At 42.1% G+C, this 16080-nt stretch overlaps 1 protein-coding gene across 9 annotated transcripts in view, besides 1 other annotated feature; it reads right to left on the bottom strand.

Moving 5' to 3' along the window:
* Window positions 1-16080, bottom strand: part of FYN (FYN proto-oncogene, Src family tyrosine kinase) — a 213121-nt gene that overhangs the window by 134980 nt on the left and 62061 nt on the right. The window lies entirely within an intron of this gene.
* Window positions 9638-9727: an enhancer, noted in NCBI's record as "active region_24953". NCBI's record gives its function as "activates an Ori minimal core promoter by ATAC-STARR-seq in GM12878 lymphoblastoid cells {active_cell/tissue: GM12878}" and the evidence as "EXISTENCE:reporter gene assay evidence [ECO:0000049][PMID:35858748]".

Here is a 16080-nt window from a genome sequence, read left to right on the forward strand (position 1 = left end):
AGGCCATGTAAGGACAAAGAGAAAAGACAGCCATCTACAAGCCAAAGAGAGAGGCCTCAGGAGAAACCAAACCTGCTGACACTTTGATCTCGGACTTTTAACTTCCAGAGCTGTGAGGGAATGAATTTCTGTTGTTTGAGCCATCCAGTCTATGATACTTTGTTATGGCAGCCATAGCAAATTAGTACAGGAATCACACAGAGCATTATTTTGTGGAGTTTTTGTTTCACTCACACATGTGGACTTGTGATATAAACATGTATTAAATTATTTGTGTCACACCAAAATAAATGGAAGAACACTCTACCAGAGGGAGAAAAATACATGTTTGGTAGCAAAATCAGAAACAGAAGGGTGTTCTAATTGAACCAAGACACAGAAAGAGAAAAGAGTACTGAACATATTAGGCACTTTGCATATATTATCTCATTTTAGTCCTCACAGTAACCCTACGCAATAGGTCTTCACCTGATAAAGAAACTAAAGCATTGAGAAGTAACCTACTGAGGTGGCAGAGCCAGATCTGACTCCAAAGCTTATGTATTATTTCTCATGATGAATCAATTTCTATTTCTATATTCCTGAGAGTAGGTTGAGATTGTAGTTAGGCAATAAATAAGGGAAACGATTTATAAATAATAATAGCTAACATTTACTAAATACTTACTGTGTGCCAGGTTCTGGGCTAGGCTTAACATAAACCTCACTTTATCCTTATTAATAACCCAATGGCTTAGACTCTATCACTATTTTTTTCAGTTGAAGAATCTGAATGTAGAAGAAATCATTTAACTTGGCCAAGATGACAAAGCTGGTAAGTTGAAGACCCAGGATTTGAACCTTCATTAGTCTGACGTTTGAGCTAGAGCTCTTGCCCACCACAAATGTTCTCTTTTAATTGTATTTATTGCCAATCTAAGTACAGCCATGTGCCACATAATGAAATTTCAGTCAGTGACAGACCACATATATGACAATGGTCCCCTAAGATTACAATGCTGATATTTTTTACTGTGCTTTTTCTATGTTTAGATACACAAATATTTACCATTGTGTTATAATTACCTACAGTATTTAGTACAATAACATGCTGTTCAGGTTTGTAACCAGAAGCAGTGGGCTATACCATAGAGACTAGGTGTGTAGTAGGTTATACCATCTAGGTTTGTGTAAGTGTACTCTATGATGTTTACACAATGACAAAATCACCTAATGATGCTTTTCTCAGAATGTATCCCTGTCCTGAAGCAACGCGTGACTGTACATAACTATCTGCTGGTGGTCTCCAATTGAAGAAAAAAAATGCATACTTTTTATCATACATCCAATAAACACTAACTGAGCACATATTATGTGCCAGGCCCTGTTCTGAGAGCTGGGGATCCTGCCATCATGGTGATGCTATGGGTAAGAAACCTTAATGATGTAACCACACCATGCTGATTGAAATCCCCTCGTGGGTAAGGGGAGTGGCAGGTAAGATTCAGGTGGGTTGAAGGCACAGGCCAATGAAATTGCAGAAATTGTAGAAAATGAGATGATGAGTCAGGATTACTAAACAGAAATTTTTAGTAATTTTATTTAATATTTATTGTATCCAGGTTCACCTGTCATGTGGTCATGTCTTATCTGGAGGTTTTTCAATGGCAGGGGCTATATCATACTTTAAAACACCCACCTCAGTGCTTGGCATAGTGCATAGTAGTTTGAATTTACTATTTTTTTAATAATGTTGTTTCCAAGAAAGATGTACAGAAGTTACTCAGGGATTTTCAGATGTAATGACAAGAGTCAGACAATCCTTGGAAAGTCTCAGTAGTGGAGGATAGATCATGCTGCATGTTATCAGGGTCATGAGCAAAGAAATAAATGTTTAACTGAAACAGTTTTAGTTAAATCAAATGGGAAACTAGTACGATGGCTAAGCAATCAGAATGAGTGCCTGGTAACAAAAATGTGAGGACAAAAAATTAGGCTGAGTGAAAGGAAAACAGGATACGGAATATTAAGATTTTTAATGTATTTGTGGCAAATAAATTTTTCCTAAGGTTTTTTTGCTTTTAATTTAGAATTTTTATGTATAGAATTTTTATATTTTCACCAAACCTAGTAATCCTTTCATGAAGAAATAACCAGAGAAGTGAGCAAATATTTTCACTCCAGAATGTTTAGTACAGCATTATTTATAATCTCAAATATGAGAATATTTAACTGCATAGTAATAGGATAGTGAATGGTTAAATAAATTAGTCTGCTCACACAATGGAAAACTTCAGTTATTATTCAATTACATTAGAAAACAATCACAACTTAATATTAAATGAAAGAAGCAACAAGCTCAAAATCAAAGTTTCATATATATATATATATATATATATATATATATATATATATATATATACACACACACACACACATGACACACCCCTCCCAAAAACGACAAAATAAATACATCTTTTTTCTTTTTTTGAGATGGAGTCTCACTCTGTTGGCGAGGCTGGAGTGCAGTGGCACGATCTTGGCTCACTGCAACCTCCGCCTCCCAGGTGCAAGTGATTCTCCTGCCTCAGTCTCCTGAGTAGCTGGGACTACAGGCATGTGCCACCATGTCCAGCTAATTTTTGTATTTTTAGTAGAGACGGCGTTTCATCATGTTGGCCAGGCTGGTCTCAAACTCCTGACCTCAGGTGATCCGCCCGCCTCGGCCTCCCAAAGTGCTGGGATTACAGGTGTTGAGTCACCGTGCCCGACCCTAGTTTAAATACATCTTAACATTGCTATCTCAATATGGTGTGATTAAGAGATATTTTCATTTTCTTCTTTATAGCTTACCAAATTTTCTACAAGTAAAATTTTAAAGTCAGGAAAAAAAAGTTATTTAAATAAGTTTAAATCAAAGAGAAAGTATACACATAGCACCTCTACTGTGCATCTCTAATTTGCTGAAGACCTTAGCCACCAGAGGCCTCAACCACACTGGCACATGTCGCAAATTCTGGTAATGTTATTTTAAATAAATATATTCATATATTCCTAAACTCGCCTGCAAAGAGGTTTCAAAACAGATTCAGCAGTGGCCAAGGGCAGTCCCCAGGATGAGATGACACATTTTAGTGAATTCTTTGACTTTGACAATACATTCATTTAACAAATATTTACTGAGTGCCTGTCATGCTCCTGGCACTCCGTTAGGTACCAGGGGGTCAAACTGGGTCCCCGGGAACAAATGACCCATTGGGCTGACATTTGTCCTACATACCCTGATCCTTGCAAGATGCGGTGGAAGTCTGGGCTGGGTAGTAACTGGGCAGACCTGTTCTCAATTCTCCCACCTCATCTGGGCTCTGACCCTTCCTGGATGTGTGGCTCTGAGAAAGGCTGGCTTCACCTCTCTGGCTCTGGCTGCCTCATTTGTAAAACAAGGATAATCCTGACCCAGTTCGTGGCACTGTGGTGAAGAATAAACAAAAAGCGTTCTGGGCTTGTTTTTATCTATACAGTGCCAGATGGATTCTACATGTTAATAGCTACTGTTGTTTCCTTCCTTTGAAAATTGTATATTTACTCTTTAGGAAACATAAAGGGTCAGAAATAAAGTTCAGTGATTAAAGGGATATTCCATATTTTTCTTCCTCAGAATATCCAGATTAACAATTACAGAAATGAACACCCATGTTTCCAACCACAGCCAAAAGTAAAGTGGAACTGGAAGATCTTGAAACGTTCAGGAACCATTCCAAGGACAAATCTAGGTGAGATGCTACCAGTCATTAGGGAAATAGTTCAATTATGATGAGCACTTCAAAAATCTAATAAGATTCACTTACAGTTTTTCCTCTCTCCCTTTTAGGAAGGGTGATTCTAAAAAAGCAACGTTCAAAAATAAACAAGTTTTTAAAAATTTAACATTTCTAAGAAAAGACTCAAGGGCACAGGAAGGATGCCAACCATATGTCCAAATCAGAAGTAAATGTGCAGATATATCCTGTCTCTCTCCCAAACTGAACTCACTTCCCAAACATTGGGAACATTTGTAAAAATTAGAAGATGAGGTGGAAATAGAGGTGGGGAGAGGGAAAAATACAGAGACATTAAAATGGGATGTGCCTAGTTGAGATGTTTCCCTTTACTGGCTATTGACATGACTTAATAACAAGTGTACCAATACACTGACAGAGAAAGTGCAACTCTAACCCCCTGGTGTTCGCATTTTATGTGAAAGATTAAGGATATTTTCCCAGATACATACTACTAATTTCTGACATCTTCCGTCTCCTTGTGGTCCTTTCATCAAGTAAGGATTGGTAAATGGTATTAATAGGTTCAGACAGCTTCACAATATCTGGACTAAAATCCCCCTACCCCTCAGTTCTCCGTTTCATGATGCTGCCTGTCCAGAGCCACTGAGGCAGGGCAGGGCACAAGTGGTTCAGGTGAATGGACATCTCCACTGCCCCCTGTCTGTGAGGCTGTCACTTGTGCAATTCCCTTCTTACTGCACCCATGCCTTGTCCACCCTTGTTATGTGGGAGTCCCGCACACGCCAGCTCCCCTGTGGAAACGTGCAGGGAAGGCAGCCACGGGTGACATTTCCAGCACTGGTTAAATATGGACAAACCTCGCAGCTTCCCACCCAGGTAGGGCAGTCCTGTACAAATGGTAACCGGCAGGGTTTATTCCGAAGGACACGAGTGTGCCATGATATATTCAGTAGTTGCTGTACTTTTAAAAAGGGAGTTGTAAAAATTATCTTTAAAATGCTTGTTGATGCCCTGTGGGTATGAGTCACTTTGTGAAGCAGGATCAAAATGGATTCTCTATTACGGGTTTCTGCTGGCTCTTTGATTCTAAACAACTTTATTAATGTTAATAGGAGTTATATACACATCAATGAGAGAATAAATTCCCAGGGTTTAGTGGAGCTTCCATTAATGATCTGTAATAAGCAACGTAAAATGCTTTCAAATTTTCTTTCAAGTAATAACACGGTACCCCAGAAGAGCTGAAAATGAGGCACAGGTCTCAGCACAGGGTAGGAAGGATCCGGGGGATGGGAGAAACAAGGCTCTACAGCTTGTGGGAGGCTCTGTGGGACGAGTCCTCACAGCCACTCACGGGAGTGGAGCAGGAGGGATGGACACAACTTGCCGAAGGGATATTGAATATGAGGAAGGGAGGAAAAGAAAACGTACAAAAAGTGAGCTTGATGCAGAAGGAATTTACTATGATCTAAAACGGGAACGACTGCAACCGCGCTTCCTAAATCTGTCACAGGCTCATCCCATTTTTTTCTGAGCTTAAGTTAATACTATTCACTGGCTTACAAAAATACCCACTAAGATGAAAATGGGAATTTAAGTTCCAAGGATGATGCCACAGAATTCCTAATGAACAGGTTATTTTGCAGTGACACAGAGCTCTGCCTCAAATGTCTGGAAGCCCAGCTTTAGATTTAACCCTCTCCTGCCCACATCTCCAGTTCTCTCCTCAACTCTTCTCATGGGAAATCAAATGCCAGATTACTGATATCCCCAGAGGATAGCAACCCATGGGGGCTGCAGCAGACAGACAAGTATAAATGGCAAATGACTAACTTCCATGATTTAAGAAAAGAATAGAGCAAAATTTGAATCTAAAAGTCTAATCACTATTTGCTCGTTCATACTTAGTCACCTTACACTTCCTTACATTTCATCCTGATGCTTCACAGACAGTAGAAGGACCTCTGCCAACAAATTACAAGTCCACAACATTAAGGATTAGATGCACAGTGGGAGAAGAATGGGGATGTGTACATTTAGCCACTGAGAGTCTAGTTTCATACCTGAGAGATCTGGAAACACTGTGTGCACCGCTGGCGATGCTGCAGGTGGCCAAGCAACGCTCAAACCACTGGCAACAACAGGGTAGTATCTTGATCTTCTGGCTCAGTGGTCACTTCCCACACAGCAGATTTTAGAGCACTTCAGGTTTAAGGGGGTACTGAATTTACATATTCCAAGGTAAACCATGGCCATCATCATCAAGGCAGAGCTCCATACACCGTGTACATTTTATTTAGAATTAGGTGGCTTTTCAAAGGAGCTCCCCATTTTTCTTTTATCACCTGCCTAGTTGCCAGGAAGCAGAATAAATGCCAATTCTTACGACATGTAGTTTAATTGAACAAATATATATAGACATTTGTTGGCTAGGGAAATGATTGGTTGGATAATGCTGGAATACCAAAATTCAACAGAACTTCCGTACCAGCCACTTAGACACATCAGTGAATACGTCGTTCACTCTCAATTCTCAGTAAACTGGGGAGTCTCTCCAGTAGTCCAGATCCTACTAGAAAAACATAAGCCACTTATAAAAGTAGCAAGTGTATCTGAGACTGTGACAAATGAAAACAGTGCCTGGGTTGTGCACTGTTTTTGTCTTACTCCTTCCTCTCACTTCCATTGGTATTAGACATACATATATATGGGTGTTCTGTGGACAAACCATATGTGAGCATTCTTTGAGAAAATGGCTTTGCCTCCATCTCAGCTCCCCACAACTCCTGGCTTAAATCTGTTAGGCACCAGGGGAAGATCTCTGTGTAATGAATGACTAAACAAGGTGCAAGACACTGGATAGATGACAATGAAGGGAATAGAGAAGCACCAGACACCATCTCAGCATTCAAAATGTTTGTAGCCTACTTGGCAGATAAGCAATATACATATCCCACATTAACTAACAATGCAATACTGATATGGTTTGGATCTGTGTCCCAGCCCAAATCTCATGTTGAATTATAATCCCAGATGTTGGAGGTGGGGCCTGGTGGGAGGTGACTGGATCATGGGGGCAGATGTCCCACTTGGTGCTGCCCTCATGATAGTGAGTTCTCATGAGATCTGGTCATTTCAAAGCATGTGGCACCTCCCCCTCTCCTCTCCCACTTCCCCCTCTCCTCTTCCTCTTGCTCTGGCCATGTGAAGTCCTGGTTCCCCCATGCCTTCTGCCATGATTGTAAATGTCCTGAGGCCTCCACAGAAGCTGAGCAGATGCCAACATCATGGTTCTTGTACAGCCTGTGGAACTCTGAGCCAATTAAACCTCTTTTCTTTATAAATAACCCAATCAGGTAATCCCTTTTTTTTTTCTTTGAGACAGAGTCTCGCTCTATTGCCCAGGCTGGAGAGCAGTGGTGTGACCTTGGCTCACTGCAACCTCCACCTCCTGGGTTCAAGTGATTCTCCTGCTTCAGCCTCCCGATAGCTGGGACTACAGGTGCCTGCTATCACACCCAGCTAATTTGTATTTTTGGTAGAGACAGGTTTCACCATGTTGGCCAGGCTGGTCTCGAACTCCTGACCTCAAGTGATCCGCCTGCCTCAGCCTCCCAAAGTGCTGGGATTACAGGCATGAGCCACCGTGCCTGGTCCCAATCAGGTAATTTTTCATAGCAGTGTGAGAACACTCTTTCTGGCTGAAAAAAAAAAAAAAATTCATTGGATTTACAATGCAGCATCTTATTCCTTTGTGGGACAGGAACGTAGTAGAGCCACAGTCCACTTAACCACTATTTACCAACATAGATGTAGAGTGGGTTTCTTAAATAAACTGGGAAAAAGTCCTAGATTTCTCAATCATACATGATTTTCTTGGCTAGGAAATCGTATAATCTGGGACCAGAAGATGACCAGAATCTAGTTCTTCTAAGGGAGAAAAATGGAAATCCAGCAGCCTAGCTGTTTACCCACTTTTCTTTATTAAAAAGCCTCCACCTGCTTTGAAGACTGTTCACAAGATCCTCCAACTGCCTCAAAACATCTGCTTCCCACTAACCCTCAAAGGCCATTTGGAGTTCCAAGGCCAAGCTCCTGCTTCATCCCTTGAGCACTGCTTTTGGCTAACTGGTAGTATTAATATTCTGGATATTCCAAATCACTCTGCCCTTCAGGGGCACTCCTCTGAAAGTATTAATTCAATCACTTCAAATATTTGGGCTTCATTATAACCTTTTTTTCTCTCCCAAATCATGCCACTTTTATGGCTTGACTGTGGAAGTAAGGTTTTACCCCACAATCTTTTTTTTTTAAGTCAACCGGTAACATTAATAAATGTCCAAGAGGTTTTCTTATTCCTAAACTACTCTGAATTGAGGACTGCAAATTATAAAACTGATCAGATCCCAGCCAGTTTCATTCATCATATATCCTCAGCTGTTTAGTTTCACATTCTGTTTCATATTCTCCAATCTGTGAAGAGTCAAGTATAAATACTGTTAGTATCATGGAAGGAAGTAATCCACTTCATAGTGTTTTGAACCAGTGACTCCTGGGGCATGGGGGTGTGGGGTAGGTGGGGAAAGACCACAGAGATAAAGGGTTAACACAGAAACTTGAATAACAGTCTTTGCTTATGGCTTTGACTGGCTAACATTTAACACCATTGCTCCTGAGATTAAAATGAAACAACTTGCCAAGGATAATTTCATTCTTGCAGCCAACAGCGCAAATGTAGAGTTTCCTGAAGGAATAATCTGCGGAAATGCACAGCTTCCCAAAGCAGCCATGGTATGTTAATATGGGATATTTTGCTTTCCAAGGAAACACCAAAAAAATATCCATAGTGTTAGGAATGGAGCAAACCACATGAGAAGAGAACAGGAAAAGCTTCTTCTCTCCCAGAAATGACCTCCTCCCCTCAAAATGGTTTCCCACGTGCTAATTGACTGCGGGGATGAGACAGTGTGGATACAGCTACTAGTTTCACTTAAGTCTTCTTATGCTGAAACCCACAGTTTACATCAAAAGCTGCTAAAGTAAACCAAATAAACCAAAATGGAACATTTCATTCCTGTGTATTTAAAGGCAGGAAGAGACATCATCGTTCTGAAAATATACGAGGGCCATGCTTAAGGATTCAGAAAAACAGGCCAAAGTCAGGCTTGAAGAACACCCACATCCCCTGTGATCATAAAACCCTCAGATTTTATGGGGGAACTGGGGGGAACTGGGGAACAGAGACCTCAGCTTTAGAAGCGGCACCCTCTGTTCTGGGCATTCCTTTCTTCCCAGGTGGATGCTGTAGAGGTCCCCAGTAGCTCATAAGCAGACTACTGGGACTGCGGCTTTCCAGCATCCCTGTTCCACACAGGAATAGGATGCTACATCGCAAAACCAATGAATTTTTTAAAAAATCCAGAAGGAGGTAAAACTTTAAGTTTCTCTTTCATTCTATTGAGTAGCTGGATTTTGGAAACAAACACACCATGCCCTAAATTACGTCCAATGCAATAAATGGCACAACCTGAATTTTTGGTCCCTAGTCTTTGTTCACTGGGGTATAACACATAATCAGCCTCTTGGTAACAAGGGGATACTTAGGCAGTACTTACACCAACAGAAAAGAAAACGAGGGCTGTGACTCATAAGCAGTATGTGGTCCTTCCCACCAGTGGGTACTGTGGCGTTGTGTGGAAACTTGGAGGCTTTAATAAGAATCTGCTACGTCAGCACCATGTAATATAATAGAAAGAACTCAGTGAGGACTTCAGAAACCCTGATGCTGCTCTAGGCTTCGCTGGTCATTTCTCCTGTGATTTGAGTCACCACATCACTTCCTTAGTCCTCAGCTTCTTTATCAAAGTACACCAGGTGATTCTTATGTTTCTTCCAGGCCTCTCTGCCTTAAACCTAACCCAGGGGTTAACCTCCAGGAGTCCTTTTCAGCCTGCTTCAGCCTTTCTAACAGGCCTCCCCTTAATCTAGTGCCCTTTCTGCTACCCCGAGATAAACACCACATGACTCGAAGTGTGTTTGCCAGACAACTGTTTAGTCCTACAAGGCGTTTTACATGTATGGCCAAGGAGCAGGAACACTATCTTTGAAGGCTTCTTTTCTACCAGCGAAGAGGCTGGCAACCACAACCCCTCTTAGCCTTGGCATTCCCATCACTAAAGTGGGACAGACATCTTTCTCACGGAGCTGTCAAATATCAGGTTCTAAGCCATTGTGAACACTGCCAGATACAATTCATGATGTCTGGATAAGCGTGAATTTCAGATACACAATTTGGGACATACTTACATTAAAAATTATACATCGTTTATCTGAGATACAAATTTAACTGGGTGTCCTATATTTTGCTGTTTGCCAAATCTGGCAACTCTACACATGTGAGACGCTGCTGTTGTTGGTCTTAGGTACCAGGCTGCCTCACCAAACCAGTCTTTACGCAGAATAAAACAAGGGTCCATGTGGTTCAGGTTCCTTCTGCCCTCCTACACTGGCCCCCTTTCTGCTCCTCCTATCGGCTTCACAGCATTACACATCCCACCTGGCTCCCTTCTTCCTGAGGCACCTGAATTGTCTACTGACCACCCTTCCAAGCACAGCCCCCTCCCCCTTCCCTTGGTTGAACAAGCTGGCTGAATTAACTCATACACATGCATCACTGATCATTTAATGAGTCATCAGCCCCCTCTGAAACCACTGCTTTTTCTTTAAAGGTCATTTACAACCTCAAATTAAAATGACTGAATTACAGGCCGTGTAAAAGTTGAAGTGGAAAAAAAAGTAGGCAGAGGGGTGGGGGAAGCTGGGACCACTTAGGAGCTGGCTCTCACAGTAGTTCCTCCAGCGTGTTTCTGCTTTTCCTAGTCTTTTCCTTTTCTTCTGAGCCCACAACAGCTCTTGAGGCAGTTGAAGACCCTGTAGATAAGGGAAAAAAGGAACGGGGAAGTGGGATGGGTGCAGTAGGAAGCTGGGGTTTACGTGTAGACTGGTCACCACATTCTTCCCACGCAGTTCCTAGGGTGCCCCAGCACTAGCATCTAATTTAGATTGTAGAAAACACAAAGCCTGACTGAACTTTCTCCTTTTTAACCAGCTTGTGTTCGGAGATGAAATACAATTGCACGAGCTTGTAACTCCTGGAACCTGGACGTTGGTCAAATATAACCCCAGGGGCCATAAAGAACCATCTCTCTCTTTCCAGAGCACATCAGTCTAGATGGCTCTGAAGGCTAACCAGAGGAGGAGGGGGTGGGACACACTTGCATCAGTATTACTCAAGCACCCCTGACTGGGTCAGGAGGACACCCCTTCGGCCCAGCTCTGCCCTCCTGGAAGGATCCCTGTCCCTAGGTTATTCGGTCCAAGATGACCCTTCACCTTCATGCCCACAACCCATCAGCTAACAGCATTTCACCAAACCACCAAAAGGAAAAGGCTTGAAACAAAGTAAATCACAAAATGTGGCAAAACAGATAGTGTACTATCCTTCTCAGGCAATTAGCCTCAGCAGAGTGACCCTCATAGGACCTTTGCAGGAGATGGAGCTGCTGAATGTCCCGGCCCACTATTGAAGGTGAGGTAAATTATTACCAACTGGGGACCAAGAAATTCTGTCTTATAATTTTGCAATACCCACTGCAGAGAGCTGCTGGCACCTGGGCATGCTGACTCAGTGGAATGCACCTTCCCATTATCTTCATATCTTCCTAACTATGCCGAGACTAGGGTGGGAAATGTTTTAGATGGTAGGAGTGGGAGTGGGAGGCTGAGAATCCTACATGCCCCAAGAGCTTCACATTCTTATTCAATCCTCCCAACAGCCTAGGAAGGAGAAATGGACCCCTGGGTCCACGCAGGATTTGAATTCATGTCTTCCGGACCCCAGCGCTGATTGTCCTCCACACGCTATTTGTTTCATTCAGAGTGCTGAGCTCTGATTTCACGTTTCCCTTGGAAGAATGGAATGTTGATGCCTTTTCTGGCTGCGCTGTGTGTGACAGGGACAGACTACTCATTTCATGGGCTTATAACAAGGGATCTACTGAGGGATTTATTTTAACAGAGGACTTATTTATAATATTTTTTGTAGGAAAACAGTGTCTTGTATTTAGTTACATTTCATATCTTGAGTTGTACTTTTGTAGCACACAAGAATTTGTTTCTCAGCAGACGATGGTGAGGAACTCCAGGGCAAAATAGACACTGGGCTTTACTCCTGGATAATGGAAAATGGCCTCTTCAGAATCTTGTGCAGTGAGCCAGGGAAGTCTGGTCACTCCTGCTAATGGATCAGTTCACTGTTGTTAACAAGGAGTTAAAAGAGCAATTCTTCCACTCTCTCTCAAATTAGTTTGATTTCTTGACTTTGTATTATACTGTATTTTTAAAGGATAGTTCTTCTTTACAGCCAGCAGGAGTTTCTCTTGATTACTCACTCACTTACCCCCAGGTAAGACTAACACATGGCACAAAAAGCAGGGATCGAGTGCCCTTTATCTAGTCACCTGTTCAGAGGGCTGCCCAGGCTTGGGTGCTATGTTATCAGGTTCTGCATCCAGTCAACTACAAAAGGTTAATCATTGCAAGAGCCTTAGAGGCATCCTAAGTGTCTCCAAATGAATAGGTTGGGAGGTGAGGCCTGGAACCTGCATTTTCATAACTTCCCCAGGGGGTTCTGAAGCACCCCCAGGTTTGGGGACCACACTGGTATAGAACACCCTGCTATTAAAGGTGAGGTCAGGGCCGGATGTGGTGGCTCATGCCTGTAATCCCAGCACTTTGGGAGGCCGAGGTGGGCAAATCACAAGGTCAGGAGTTCAAGACCAGCTTGGTCAACATAGTGAAACCCCATCTCTACTAAAAATACAAAAATTAGCCAGGTGTGGTGGCATGCACCTGTAGTCCCAGCTACTCGAGAGGCTGAGGTAGGAGAATTGCTTGAACCTGGAAGGCGGAGGTTGCAGTGCGCTGAGGCTGCACCATTGTACTCCAGCCTGGGCGATAGAGCAACACTCAGCCTCAAAAAAAACAAAAAACAAAAAACAAAAAAAACCTGAGATCAGAGGTCAGTCCCTCTGGAACCACTCAGCTTTGCTGTGTTACAAAGGCACTGAAGCAGCAAATCTGCAAACACACTCTCTATCAATCAGGGTACCAGCAGGAGACAGGTGGCACCCTCAAATTATCACAAAGGGGTATTTGCCAAGAAGTGAGCAGGGCACAAGGCCTAGTGCAGCCCCCTGGGCTAGTATTGAGGGGGAAACAGGTAGGGTGGCTCTGTTATACCTAAAGGCTGAAGGGGCAAGGTGAGGAAGCAGACACCAGAACCTGGACAGAAACGCTCACGGAAGGGCTGCCTGACAGGGATAGTGACCCCATTTCAGGGCTGTAGCGAATCAGGAGGGACCCCACTGTGGGTAGATATTCTGACCTCCCTCTTCTCCCTCCCTCCAGTCTCTGGACATTCTTCTTGCTAAACTCAACTAGAAACCAAAGGGAAAGGAACTCACTGACGTTGTACATAGAAGTCAATTTTCTGGGGCACAGAGCAGAGTGGAGAGTATTTGGATACAGAGGAGTATGACGAAGACGCCAGGTGCAAAACTTCAAAAGCAAGCATACCAGGGAGTGTCAAACCCTCACCACCATCATCACACAGGACAGCAGCTAAAGGCTGTGCCACACCCACTCATGGAAGCACCTGATGCTATAGGTAACTGCAGAGTTCTACCAGTAACTTTTGAAATGACACAACTTCGTCCAGAGAAGTCGTTCAACAATAAATTCACAAATGTTCTTATCAAATATTTATGGAGCACCTATTCCATGCAAGAAATGATATCTTACTTTAGCCATGTAGTGAAGGTTTCAATGTGTTTTATGTTAAACTCGGTAAGTGTTTATCTGGTTTTATGAAGCCCCCATTGCTTTTTTCCTAAAAGAAACAAAAATAAATACACTACAGAAAAGGAAAATATCTCAGATTTTTAAAATGGAAAGATACTAAGCTTTAACTGCCCATACTCATGGCCTATAGCAAAAGTGGCCTTTTAAAAATAAAATATATGATTTTCCAGTTAGGTTTTACCTCCATCTTGGCAAACAAACATATGATGTGCTTTCAGGTAGTCTAAAATAAATGGGTTGAAGAATAGCTTTATCCCATCTTTCAAGATCCACACAACTAACGTCAGTTCCACTAACCTGAAAAAGTTCTCAGGAGGCATCGCGATTGATTGCCATTCTCTACTCTATGGTTACCTTCAGTGGGTAACCAATGAGAGACATTTACATTTCCCTGTATCCATGTGCACTTTTCATCAGCATAAGTGAAGAATAAGCACGAGTCTCTTGAGTCCTCTGGATTAGTCATGGTGCTTCGTGGCATGGGGAATGATGTGAGCTCCTAGGGATACACCAGGTTATTTCACAAACACATGGCAGATGTTAGGTGGCACTAACATCAAACCACAGAACATGAACCTTATTTATTTTCCAATATTTTTCAGGCACCAAAGTCTCAGCCAGATGTTGCCATGTCAGTGACACCCTCCAACACCTGCCAATCCCCCTCTTCACTGGGGAGGTGTGGCCTTAGGCTCGGAGCCTTCAGGCATGGGCCTCTCTTATTTTCACTTATTGATTTTAATGGTTATCATTTCTATCAAAGAATATCGGTTTTCTACTTGAGATGGTCATATAAATTTCTTTTAAAAATTTAGTAGAAAAAATAAATTCAAGGGAAAATATATATTTTCCCTTAAAAAGGTGGCACATAGATATAGCAAAAATCATTAAGGTAGTATACAAATGACTAAAGTGTGGAAACACTGATGTAATACTAAGTACACCTCATGAATCAGAAAAACTTAGGTTTTAGTTCTAACTGCCCTCAAATAGGGATTAATGACTGATTTCCTTACTTTATAAAAAGCAATCCTTTCAGTGAAGGTAGTAGCTCTCTGGTCAGATGGCTGTAGCTCAAAGAGGGTAATAAAAATTTAGTAAAACTGCTTTGTAATCTGAATCCTGTCTTGTTCATAATATGACAGAGATGCCTATGATAAATGATTAAGGATTAAGGTTTAAAGATTTATATCACTATTAGGATGAAAATATGGGAATATACATCATGAGGGTAAGGTAAAGGTGGTCTCCTTGTCTGTTGGCATCAGGTCTAACAAGGGGGCCTTTGGCTGTCACTGGAATGGGAAGAGAAAAACCTCTGATTCATGGAAGGCCTTCACTGAGAGTATCCCAGGGCCATCCAGGCAGAATTAAATTACAAGTGCAATCAGTCATGGGATGTGAATCCACTTGATGTCGGTCTGGTAAAAATACTGAATATTCTGCGGTATTGAAAGTGCAAACACTTTCAATGGTTACCTCCTGTGTGAACTGTAAATCTCTTAGATGTTTTAGTTCGGCCCTGTTTCATCCCAAGTCACCCAAACCCGCAAACTCTAACCCCTTGAAAAATTTACATTTATGTTCATGTTCCTTTCAAGTTAAGACCTCAGGAAGCACTAAATCAACCAATGTATGCTGTCTTTTTTCTTCTTACAAATACGAGTGTGAAGCCCAGTGCCTGGGTGCACTCACACCCACTTCCACACATGCCTACACACCCCTGCTCCCTGTGCCTCCCCGAAAACCCACCCTGTGGGTGGAGCAGAAATGAATGCTGCCTGGGGCCCTTCCAGGAAGAGGTGTTTGAAACAAAGCATTCTGTCCTTCTGAACTCTTCCTTACACTCGCGCTTTGCTAAATCCCATATGTCAGCAGTCTTCACTTTGGAGTTAGGGTCCTTTTCCTATCCACTGTTGTTTACTTGTTTTAAAAATATTTCTACAATGCATCCGTTGTTCTCCATTCACTATATAATTGTATAATACATTGGCAAGCAACTGCTCCTCAATGAATAAAAGTGTGTTTTACTAAAGAATAATTGGAGCTGCTTGGCACAGGAGCCAACCTTGCCCGGCACCAGCTGATATATGTGGCAAACATGGCTGTCTTCTGCCTGTGCCTTTGCTGAATATACAAGTAGTCAGGAGCTGTTAACTCTAGGAGCTCAGTTTTAGGTACACAAGATACAGAAAGTTTTTAATGCTGTATGATTTCATTTATGAATTTCTTTAGATTTACTAAGTTGCTAGAATTACAGGAAACAAACAGACTTTAATTTTACAGAAGCCATCAAGTTTAGAGGAAACTTTCAAAAGGAAACGTTTTAAAGATGCCATAATGGGTAGTAGCAGGCTGTAGGGCTTGGGGTATGTGTACAGTATAAGGATTGGAGCTG

Source organism: Homo sapiens, chromosome 6, assembly GCF_000001405.40.
Source record: "Homo sapiens chromosome 6, GRCh38.p14 Primary Assembly".
Taxonomy (NCBI): Eukaryota; Metazoa; Chordata; class Mammalia; order Primates; family Hominidae; genus Homo; species Homo sapiens.